The sequence below is a fragment of the Homo sapiens genome, chromosome 11 (genome assembly GCF_000001405.40).
Source record: "Homo sapiens chromosome 11, GRCh38.p14 Primary Assembly".
Lineage (NCBI taxonomy): Eukaryota > Metazoa > Chordata > Mammalia > Primates > Hominidae > Homo > Homo sapiens.
The window spans coordinates 108,780,423-108,793,278 of NC_000011.10; the positions used below are offsets into that span (position 1 = coordinate 108,780,423).

Sequence of the window (12,856 nt, forward strand, 5' to 3'; positions counted from 1 at the left end):
CTTTTTTTCTTCTCTGTGCTTCCCTATAGGTCTAGTCTGTCTGTTTAGGCCAGAAAACATCTTTGCTTGGTTTGTTTCCAGTTTAGCTGTCATTTGAATAATCCAGAGTTCTAAGAATTTTATACTGGAGATCCTTATCCAGTGCTAATTGGATTGTGATTTTCCTAGTGTACCACATCCTCTATAAATATACTTGTCTTTGTGTCCCAAAGGATGCTATTTTATAACAACACATTGAAATAATACTTTCTCAGTATTCTACTCAAGCACTTTATTAATGTAGATGCTTAGGTTATATTGTTGGAAAATGTTTCTGTTATTGACAACTTGCTCTTTTTATTTGGATGGGATAGTAAATAAAGGTACTTAATTTACATAAGCCTATTAAATGAAATTCTCAAGAGGAATGAATTTTAAATGCAGCTTACAATGTGGTGACAGCTGATTCACTTATAAACAAGCTCGTTTAGTGGAATTGGACTAAATGAAAAAACTTTATGCAGTAGTTTTTCTTTTTTTAATTTCAGCTTTTATTTTAGATACAGGGGATACATGTATATGATTGCTACATGGATGTATTGGACCTTGTAGTGAGCATAGTACCCAAGAGGTGGTTTTTCAATCCACACCCTTTTCACTCCTTCCCCTTTCTAGTAGTCTGCAGTGTCTCTTATTCCCATTTATGTCCATGTGTGCTCAGTGTTTAGCTCCCACTTATAAGTGAGAACATGTGGCATTTGGTTTTCTGTTCCTGTGTTAATTCATTTAGGCTTATGGCCACCAGCTCCACCCATGTTGCTGTAAAGGACATGATTTCACTCTTTTTTATGGTTGTATTGTATTTCATGGTGTATATGTGCCATATTTTCTTTATCCAGTACACCATTGATGGGGACCTAGGTTGATTTCATGTCTTTGCTTTCATGAATAGCATGGCATTGAACATGTGAGTGCATGTGTCTTTTTGGTATAATGATCTATTTTCCTCTGGGTATGAACCCAGTAATGGGATTGCTGGGTTGAATGGTAGCTCTTATACAGTTGTTTCATAACATAATTGTTTGTGGTATATGCCAAATAGTATTCATAATACTGAACTATATGGAGGGATTATCTCCATTCCTATCAACCCCTTCCTTTCTCTCTTCTTACCACAGAAGGTAAAAAGAAAGAGATTTTGTTTTGTTTTTCAAAATCGTTCTACCAATTAATAGTTGAAATGCCTTTTTAAAAGAGAAACTAAAAGGCTGAGCTTTGGTTATCAGAGGTTCTAAAAAGTGTAGTTAAAACTGTAAACCAAAGAATCGCCCTCTCACCCCCATTGTTTGTTTCCTTTCTTGGATGAACAATTTGCAGTCTTGGTTTTGTTTTTTTTTTCTGGTAGAAATAAAATTAGCGAGATAATGAATAGGACAACTGAATTGCTCTATTTTTAATTTCTCTTTAAAGGTGTTAAAAATGCTTCTTCTGTAATATTATCAGTAAGGACTTTGTTTCCTTTGGCCATTGGGAGTTAAGAGCACAGCCGTCAGAAGAGATTCTTCTGGGATACTCCCCTCTGACCTCCACAGAAGTAAATTTTCTCCTTGAGGAGGCTACTTGCAAATTCAGCTAATGCAGAACATGGTGTTCATTTGTTTAAAGGCTTGCAGCCCTAGGGCACAGATGTAACGTATCTGTTCTTCCAATTAATTTCTGACAAGCTCAGGTGATGACTTTGATATGTCAGACTGTATATGGTATAGGCCTTGGTTACCTTAGAAACCATCTCTTTTCTTAGGTTTCTGCTTAGGAATTGTAGTTCCCACAGGCAGTTCTGCAGAATATTTTCAGAACTGAATTTGGAAATGGAGGACCCTGTATTCTTCAGAGAAAACACAGCCTCAATTTCTTCTATCAATTCATTTAGCTATCATCCTTGAATATCTCTGGGTATGGTTAGAATCCCTATGATAGGTTTTCCTCAGCTGCAGTTAAATTCTAGACTATTTCTTCATCACTTTAGAGTCTGCGTTCTCATTTCTCCGAGATCCCTTTCTGCATGCTTCTGTTCAGTACATTTTATTAATCTGTTGGAATGCACCTTAGACAATACTCATCTACCATATCCTTATAGCTGCTGTTTTTTAATGTTAATTTGTGTAATACTTAGCAATTAGCTTGGCATATCCTGTGGAGAGAAGTAAATATTTTTTTTTTACTCACAGGTACTATCATATTCATTCCACAAATGAATATGTTCCTTTTTATCTTCCCTTTATAGTGACCCTGTTTGCAGTGTCTACCAAATGACTAACCAGTAGTAAGCTTCAATCAAATCAAGAGTATTTAGAGTGTGAGGAGGATTGGGAGCAAGACTCTTGGGAGTATACATAGAATCCAATAAGAAAGAAGGGTAGGAGGAAAGTCAGAGAGACCAAATCACGAAAGAGTAGTCAGTGGTATCAAGTTAGGCTTGACAGGTTAACTTCTCTGCAATCCTTCCACTCCCCTCAGTGCTCACTGACATGGTCTGAGTTTAGGTCATTTCTCTATTCTTCACCCACATATGCTTTGTCTGGAATATCTTTTCTTTCTTTGCTTACAATGTTATGCCTTCCTGTTAAACCTGTAAAACTCAGATTATTCATCGCCTCTTTGAATCCGTTTCCTAGTGCCCACTCACTATGATTTCTCTTTGTCATGTATAGGTGTCTATTACTGAACTTACCAAAATATTAGAATTGTTTCTGTGACTATTTCTTCTATTAGACTGTGAGCTTTTTAAAGATATGAGACTGTTTCAGTCATCTTTATACATCAAGTGCCTAATGTAGAATTTAGCTTTAATGGAAGCTTAAAAGTAATCAAGAAAGAAATATGAAGACTTAAAATGGGCCATTAGTTTTAGCAATGAGGGAATAATTGGTAATCTTTACCAGAAGGTTTTATTCAAGTGGTAGAGGTGGAGAGCTATATTGAAGAGCGTTGATAAAGGAATAGAGGAGAGGATGAGTGGGCCACAGTTCAAGAAGGCTGGCTGTAAAAGGCAGGAAGGTGGATAGTGGAGGCTTGTAGCTGGCAGGACAGGAATATGTATATGGTGCAGTCTTTTGGATGTACAAACTGGGAGATATGAACATGTTTTATAGCCTAAGTGAAGAAGCCCTTGAAGAGAGTAGGGTTCAGGAGGATGTGGGAGGGGTTAAATCCAGAGTATGGGAGAAAGATGAGCTTTTTAATAGCAATCTTAACCATGCTTATTTTTATTTTTTATACTTTCAACTTTTATTATAGATTAAAGGGTACATGTGCAGGTTTGTTACATGGCTGTATTGCATGTCTGAGGCTTGGGGTACAAATGATCCTGTCAGATAGTGAGCATAGTACCCAATAAGTGCACGCCCCTTTTCCTCTCTCCCGCATTTAGTAGTCCCCAGTGTCTATTGTTCTCATCGTTATGTCTGTGTGTATTCAACGTTTCCATTCCCATTTAGAAGTAAGAATATGCCACATTTTGTTTTCTGTTCTTGCATAAATTCGCTTAGGATAACGGCCTCCAGCTCTATCCATGTTGCAGCAAAGGACAGCCTAAGGCTGCGTAGTATTCTGTAGTGTATATGTTCCACATTTTATTTATCCAGTTCATCATTGAAGGGCACCTAGGTTGACTCCATATTTTTACTATTGTGAATAACACAACATTGAATATACAAGTACATATATGTTTTTGATACTGTAAATTATTTTCCTTTGGTTATATACCCAATAGTGGGATTGCTGGGCTGAATGGTAGTTCTGTTTTAAGTTCTTTGAGATATCTCCAAACTGCTTTCCAAAGTGGCTAAACTAGTTTGCCTTCCTACAAACAGCATTCCCTTTTCTTGGAAGACTCTGTAACATCTTTTATTTTTTTGACTTTTTTAGTAACCTCCATTGTGATTGGTGTGAGATGGTATCTCTTTGTGGTTTTGATTTACATTTTCTTTGCCCTCCTGAACACCCGCTTGTTTTTGAGACAAGGTCTTGCTTTGTTGCCCAGTGTGATCTCAGCTCACTGCAGCCTTGATGTCCTGGGCTTAAGTGATCCTCCTGCCTTAGCCTCCAGAGTAGCTCTTTGCCCATTTTTAAATTATATTGTTTGTTTTTTGCTTGTCGTTTTAAGTTCCTTGCAGATTCTGGATATTAGACTTTTGTCAAATGTCAAAATAATTGCAAATATTTTTTCTCCGATTCTGTAGGCTGTTTACTCTGTTGGGAATTTCTTTTGGTGTGCAGAAGCTCTTTCGTTTAATTAGGTCCCGTTTATCAATTTTTGTTTTTGTTACAATTGCTTATGGGGACTTAGCCACAAATTATTTGCCAAAGCCAGTGTCAAGCAGGGTATTTTCTAGGTTATCTTCTAGGATTTTTATAGTTTGAGGTCTTACATTTAAATCAGTAATCCATCTTGAGTTAATTTTTGTATACAATGAGAGGAAGGGTCCAGTTTCATTCTTCTGCATATGGCTAGCCAGTTACTCTGGTATCATTTATTGAATAAGGAGCCCTTTCCCCATTGTTTATTCTTGTCAATTTTGTTGAAAATCTGATGGTTGTAGGTGTGTGGGTTTATTTCTGGGTTCTCTGTTCTGTTCCATTGGTCTATATGTCTCTTTTGTACCAGTACCATGCTGTTTTGATCACTGTAGCCTTACAGTATTGTTTGAAGTTGGGTAATGTCATCACAAATGGATGTTGGATTTTATCAAAAGGTAAATTTTCTGCCTCTATTGAAATGATCATATGATTTTTGCTTTTGATTCTGTTTACATGGCGAATCACATTTATTGATTTGTGTATGTTCAACCAACCTTACATCCCAGGAATAAAGCCTGTTTTATTGTGGTGAGTGAACTTTTTGATGTGCTGTTAGATTTGGTTTGCTGGTATTTCGTTGAGGATTTTTGCTTCTATGTTCATGAGAAATATTGGCCCGAAGCTTTTTTGTTGTTGTTGTTATTGTTGTTGTTGTTGTATGTCTGCTAGATTTTGGTATCAAGATGATGCTGGGTTCATAGAATGAGTTAAGGAGAAGCCCTTCCTCCTTGATTTTCTTGGAATAGATTCAGTAGTACTGATATCACTTCCTTTTTGTACATCTGATAGAATTCGGGTGTGAATCCCTCTCGTCTGGAGCTCTTTTGGTTTGGTGGATTTTTAATCAGTGATTCAATTTCTGAACTTGAAAGTTGTACTTTCTTCCTGGTTCAATCTTGAGGTTTTGTGTTTCCAGGAACTTATCCATTTCCTCTAGATTTTCTAATTTGTGTATGTAAAGGTGTTCATAATCGTCTCCAATCTTTTATATTTCTGTGGGATAGGTTGTAATATCTTTGTCACTTCCGATTGTGCTTATTTGGATCTTCTGTTTTTTGTTGTTGTTAATTGTGTCTCAATTTTATTCAATTCTTATTTGATTTTAATTATTTCTTCTACCAGCTTTAGAGTTGAATTTTTGTTTTGTTTTGTTTTTTAGTTCCTCTAGGTGTGATGTTAGATTCTTGAGATCTTTCCGACCTCTTGATGAAGGCATTTAGTGCTATAAACTTTCCTCTTAACATCACTTTAGCTGCCTCCCAAAGATTTTTATAAGTTGTGTCTCTGCTTTTGTTAATTGCAAAGAATTTTTATTTCTGTCCTGATTTCATTGTTCATATAATGAACAATGGTTCATTCAGAAGCAGGTTGTTTAATTTCTATGTTTTTGTGTTATTTTTGAGAAATCTTCTTTATCAATTTCTGTTTTTATTGCACCGTGGTCTGAGAGTGTGTTTGGAATTATTTCAATTTTTTTTTTGAATTTACTGAAACTTGCTTTAAGACTCAGCATGTGGTTGATCTTTGAATATGTTACATGTGCACCTGAGAACAATGTATATTCTATGGTTGTTAGGTGGAGTATTCTGTAGATGTTTATTAGGTTCAGTTGTTCAAGTATCGAGTTTAAGTCCAGAATTTGTTAGTTCTCTGCTTCAGTGATCTGTCTAATGCTGTCAGTGTGGTGTTGAACTCTCCCACTACTATTGTGTAATAATGGCGGTGTAAGTGTTTTCGTAGGTCAGGAAGAACTTGTTTTATGGATCTGGGTGCTCCAGTGTTGGGTGTGTATATGTTTAGGATAGTTAAGTCTTCTTGTTGAATAGAACACTTTATCATTATGTAATGCCCTTCTTCGTTCTCCCTGATTGTTATTGGTTTAAAGTCTGTTTTATCTGATACAGGACTAGCTACTCCTGCTCTTTATTTTCCATTTGCATGATAGGTCTTTATTTTTACTTTCAGCCTGTTTGTGTCATTACATGTGAGATCCATCTATTGAAGGCACCAGACAGTTGGGTCTTGCCTTTTTATCCATCTTGCCATTCTATGCCTTTTAAGTGGGGAGATTTAGAACATTTACATTCAGGATTAGTACGATATATGAGATTTTGATCCTGTCTTTATGTTGTTGGCTGTTTGCTTTGTAGAGTTGGTTGTGCAATTGCTTTATATTGTCTGTGAGCTATTGTGCTTGAGTGTGTTTTAGTGGTAGCAGGTTTTAAACTTTTATTTCAATGTTTAGCACTCCCTTTAGGACCTCTTGTAAGGCTGGTGTGGTAATGAATTCCCTCACTGCTTACCTGTCTGAGAAGCATTTTATTTTGCCTTCACTTACAAAGCTTAGATTGGTGGGATATGAGGTTCTTGGCTGTAATTTATTTTCTTTAAGAATGCTGAAAATAGACCTCCAATCTCTTCTGGCTTGTAAGGTTTCTTCTAAGAGGTCTGCTGCTAAACTGATGGCGTTCCCTCTGCAGGTGACCTGACCTTTCTCTCTAGCTGCCTTTCAGGTTTTTTTCTTTTGCATTGACCGTGGAGAATCTGATGACTATGTGCCTTGGAATGGTCATGTTGTATAGTATCTCGCGTGGGTTCTCTGTTTTTTCTGAATTTATATGTCTTCCTCTAGCAGGATTCGGGAGATTTTCGTAGAGTATATTCTCAAATACATTTTCCAAGTTGCTTACACTCTCTCCTTCTCTCTCAAGAATGCCAATGAGCTGTAAACATGGTCTCTTCACATAATCCCATATTACTCAGTGGTGTTTTTTTTAATTTTTAATTCTTTTTTATTTTTGTCTGGGTTGATTTGAGAAATTGGTCCTCAAGCTCTGAGATTCTTTCCTCAGCATGCTCTATTCTGCTGTTAATACTTTTGATTGTAAGGGGCTGGGTGCGATGGCTCACACCTGTAATCCCAGCACTTTGGGAGGCTGAGGTGGGCGGATCACCTGGAGGTCAGGAGTTCAAGACTAGCTTCACCATGGAGAAACCCCGTCTCTACTAAAAATACAAAGTTAGCTGGGCGTGGTGGTGCATGCCTGTAATCTCAGCTACTTGGGAGGCTGAGGCAGGAGAATTGCTTGAACCTGGGAGGTGGAGGCTGCGGTGAGCGGAGATCGTGCCATTGCACTCCAGCCTGGGCAACAAGAGCAAAACTCCATCTCAAAAAAAAATACTTTTGATTGTATTATGAAATTCTTGAAGTAAATTTTTCCCTTCCAGAAGCTCAGTTTGGTTCTTAAAATGGCTATTTTGTCTTTCAAGCTTCTGGATTGTTTTACTGTATTCCTTGGATTGGGTTTCAACTTTCTCCTGCATCTTGATGCGCTTCCTTGCCATCCAGATTCTGAATTCTTTGTCTGTCATTTCATACATCTAAATCTGGTTAAGAACCATTTCTGGGTTTATTTGGAGATAAGGGAACACACTGGCTTTTTGAGTTGCCAGAGTTCTTGTGCTGATTCTTTCTTGTGTGTGAGGGCTAGTGGCTAGTGTTCCTTTAAATGTGATGTAAGTTGGGTATAGTTAGTTGGCTTTGTTTCTGGGTGTTTACAGAGGATCATGACTCTATACAGAATCTTTATTTGTAGCTAGATTTTTTTTTTTCTTTTTTGAGCTGGAGTTTTGCTCTTGCTCCCTAGGCTGGAGTGCAATGATGTGATCTCGGCTCATTGCAAGCTCCATCTCCCAGATTCAAGCATTTCTCCTGCCTCAGCCCCCTGAGAAGCTGGGATTACAGGTATGCGCCACCACGCCTGGCTAATTTTTGTATTTTTAGTAGAGATGGGGTTTCTCCATGTTGGTCAGGCTGGTCTCGAACTCCCGACCTCAGGTGATCCCCCCACCTTGGTCTCCCAAACTGCTGGGATGACAGGCGTAAGCCATGGAGCCCAGCCCTGTAGCTAGATTTTTAAAAGTTTTCACTGGTGTTGTATACTGGCAAAATGTTTTGGTGGTGTATTTTGGGCTGCAATCCAGTAGGTGGTGCTTCAGAATGTTGGTCAGCAGATAGGCTCTTACTTAGCCACACAACTCTTTTGTACTTTGGTTCTTTTGTATTTTGGTTCTGTTGGTAGTTAGTGTCTGTGTTGGTGGGAGAGAGAGATGACCCCTTCACCTGGTCCACTCCTAGGCCATGAAGGAGCCCTGTCCAGTCACTGGCTCCATGCCCACATTTCCTTTGTTAGATGTTCTGGTCCCCGGGGCTCTCTCAGGCAGGGGCAGATAGGCCGTACCCTCTCTGGGCTGGCCCTGTTGAGTGAGACACACCCCACTCCCCTGCTGGTCTGTGAGCCCAGGCATCAGAGGTTAGATTTTGATGTGACAAGCTGTCCTCATTCCTTTGAGACCAAAGGAAGTTCTAAATAATTGACTTAGAATTGAATCTGGGTGCAGAATCCCTTAAATCAGGTACTTCCTGTTCTTGTCACACCTTCAATCAGAGCCAGAGATGAATAGTTTGCCCTAGCAGCAGAGGATTGGTGGCAGTGGCTTTTACTATGTTTAAGTATAGAATTGATGAGCGGGACAAGTAGGAGATGTCGTCACCTATTTGTTTCATTTTGGTTTTTGGAAATGTCCTTATTTATTTCAGACTAATCTATCTAGGAAACAGATCTTTAAAAACTCGTGAAAGATGTGTGCATAAGATTATTGTATATACTCTGCATCATTCAGTTTCAAAGAAAAGTCTGCAGCTATCTTGAGAGGCAATTGAGTAGGTACCTGATACCTGCCTATCTGTCCATATTCAAAATTAGACATATTTTATAAGTTGTGGAAAATTATTTGCATATGCAGTAAAGTGACATCATTCTTGTCTGGCTCATGTAAAATTGGCTTGTCCTTTGTCAGCAGAATGACTGAAGTTCTACTTCTTGTTTATAAAGCCAAACTTGTATCTCAAAAATTGTATTGCCAGGGATAACATGTAGGATGCTTTTCACTGCAGGTAACAGAAAACACGACCATAGGTGGCTTAAAGAACCAGGAAAACTTTGTTACTTACATGATGAGAAACCTGGATGAAAGGAAATTCTAGGGCCGATTAACTCAATAACATTGTCAAGATCAAGGTTTTATCCATCTTTCTGCTCTGACAATCTTAGTTCCTCATTGATTTGGCTTTTGTCCTCAGACTTGTCCCCTCTTGATTAAAAGACCCTGTAACTCCGAACCAATTAAATCAGAATAGCTGGGGAGGGGGACCAGGCATTAGTCTTTTAAAAGCTTCCAGGTGGTTTTATTGTGCAAGTAGCTAGGATTGGGAACACTGAGTTACATCAATTAAGAGCCACTCAGGGGTTTATAAATCTAACCCCCCTAAAGCACATGGTCATTTGGTAACCAAATAAATCAGTTCTTTTAGCAAGTAATAAGGGTGAGAAATTCAACCATAGATGTCCGCCCTACTCCAGATGATGTAAGGTTTTTAAAAATTTCGCTTATTCTTTGACTTCATGTATGTTCACTATCATTACTTAAAAAAGAACTATGTAAGTGGTTTCTACCCCCTCACTTTAGAGGCAAATCTCTGGATAGGCAGTTTTATTAACCCAATGAACTACAAAGAGAATATTTTGGGCAAGAAGGAAGCAGAGGTATTAAAGCATACTTTTCAGTCATTTTATGTGCAGATAAATAACAATATTTAAGGTAAATATAATCTATATTGCCTTTTCTCAGGTGGATTGTAGCCAACTCTTTATCAAAATTGATTCCCTTCTTCACAAATTGTATCAAATATGCTCTCTGTTGTGGCTTTCTCCTCTCGTTTTCTGTTTTCAAATGCATTCTCCCTTAACTAACATGTGCCAAAAAGAATATAATGTCCCTCTTGAACTTTGTCTCATTTAATGGCATCACCTTGTTCCAGAGGATGTAGGTGTACTCAGATGCATGCATTTGTGGCCAAGACATTTCTGTCATACTTAGAGTCTCTGGCTGTTTTTCACTTCAGTGCACAGAATTTGTGCCACTTCATGGTCTCTCTTTTTGTTTTTTTTTTTGACTCTTAAAATTTACCTTAAGGTACCTCCCACCCACACACACTTTCAGTCTCTTTTTTAGTTTATCCCCAACAGTGCTTCTGGAGTTATCCAAAAATATAGATGAGATCCTGTTGTCTTCACATTGCCCTAATGGTTCCCATTTATCTACAGAATAAAAATCCAATGTGGTTGGTTGTCTTTACTAAGATAGCGAGAAAAATATTTCCCATCTCACACATTCTACTTTATAATGTGGTTTTGATATTCTTCCCACAACGAGGTGGAGTCTGTGTCCCTCTACTAGAATATGGACAGGCTTGTGATAATGGTGGAAGAGATACTAGTGTGACTTCCTAGACTGAGTCATAAAAAGTGTCTTGGCTTCTGCCTGTACATCTTGGCATGCTCATTTCGGGGCCACAGCTACCATGCTGTGGGAAAAAGCCCACCAATACCTTAGCCTGTAGCCTTTGCTAAGCTTCTAGCTGACAGCCAGCATCCGTGTACCTGCCAAATGGGTGATCTGAGAAGTGGATCCTTCAGTTTCCCTGCCCTCGCAGCTGATGCTGTGTGGATTATGGAGATGAGCCATCCCTGTCAAGTCCTGCCTACATTAGAAAGTCATGGGGGGAAAAGTGATCATTTGTATTCAAAGTGATTATTTGTATTCAGAGCATCTTTTTTCTTTTTAAAATCAGTTTTAGTGAGCTATAAGGTATGTATAATACATTCACTAATTTTAAGTATACAATTCATTGAGTTTTAACAAATGTTTGTGGTGTTTTTTCATACTGCCACATTTAAATTTTGTTGATTTTCATCATTTCATAGAGTTCTCTTGTATACCTTCCAATTTAGTTCTGTCACCATCCTCAGCCCCTGGCAACTGACAGAAAGCTAATGTGCTTTCTGTCCCAATAGTTTTGCCTTTTCCAGAATGGAAACCTTGTTTCTCTACTAGTTTTGGGCTAGTGTAAATAAACTTGCTATGAAGATTCATGTATATGTCTTGTGGATGTAGGTTTTCATTTCTTTTGAGTAAATGCTATAGGAGTGGGATTTAGTTATATGATAGTTAGTGTTTAAATTTTTAAGAAACTACCAAACTGTTTTTCAAAGTGGCTGTGACTGCGTATTTGACTTTGCCAGCAGTGTATGATAGTTCTAGTTGTTCTTCATCATTGCAAGCTCTTGGTATTGTCATTTAAAAAAATATAGTTATTCGAGTGGCTACAAAGGCTTATCTCATTGGTGTTTTAATTTGCATATTTCTGTGACTAATGGTGTTGACATCCTTCATGCGTTTACCTTTTATATATCATTTTTGAAGTTTCTATTCAAATCTTCCATTTAAAAATGGGTTGTTTATCTTTCTAATACTTAGTTTTAAGATTCTTGACTATATTTGGGTATAAATTCTGTATCATATAGATTGTAAAGTTCTTGGATTCTGTGGGTTGTCTTTTTACTTGCCTGATGGTGTCCTTTGAAGCACAAAGTTTTTAATTTTGATGGAAATCCAGTTTATCAAGTTTTCTTTTACAGTTTATATGCATTATGTTCTTTTAAAAACTTTACCTTAACAAGGTCACAAAGGTTTTTGTCCTTTGTTCTGCGCGCTTTCTAATTTTTAGCTCTTGGATTTAGGCATATGATCCATTTTGATTTTAAGTTTGTATATGGCATGAGTGAAGTTTCAAAGTTCATTTGTTTGTAAAATAGATATCAGATTGTTTTAGCAACATTTATTGAAAAGACTGTCTTTTCCTCATTCAATTATCTTGGTACCTTTAGAAATAAGTTTATCATATTCATATGAATACATTTCTCTTTCTGGAGTGTATATCCTATTCCTTTGATTATCTGTCCTTATGCCAATATTCTCTTGATTACTGTAGCTTTATAATCAGTCTTGAAATCAATGGATGCCCTTTAACTTTTGGTCTTTTTTTCAAAGTTTTTCTGGCTATTCTAGGTTCTTTTCACGTCCGTATATATTTTGTAATAAGCCTTTAATTACTATGAAAAGATTGCTAGAATTCTTGGGGAATTACTAATATTGATCAATTTGTTGGCATCTTGAGAATATTGTTTTCTGATCCTATATTTCCATTCATTTGGGTGGTTTTAAAAGTTTTTCAAAGCAGTGCTTATTAGTTGTTTTCATTGTATGTGTCTTGTACAGAGTTTGTTAAATTTATGTGGTAGCCAGTAGGATTCAATTATTAAAGAAAACTCAAAAGATCCAAAATGACAATGTCTAGAAATCGATGACCTGATGTAGGAAAAGGATGCAATACAGCAACAGGATTAGAGCATTAAAGATATGCGTCGTAGGCAAAGGCTTCCTAATAGCAAGGGGTCTAGAGGGACTGAGCATGACCTCTAATTACTCTCTCTGTTGGCCATGAGGCACCCTTTTTCTCTCAGGTGACACTCCACTGATATGTGCACAGAACCTGGGAGTGCAAAATGGAATCAAAGCTGGGACTCATTATATCCTGTTGACCAAATAGGCTTAT

General features: G+C 37.5%; 1 protein-coding gene across 1 annotated transcript in view; it reads left to right on the forward strand.

Annotated features, from left to right (window-relative positions):
- DDX10 (DEAD-box helicase 10) overlaps positions 1–12,856 on the forward strand; it is a 275,859-nt gene that overhangs the window by 115,354 nt on the left and 147,649 nt on the right. The window lies entirely within an intron of this gene.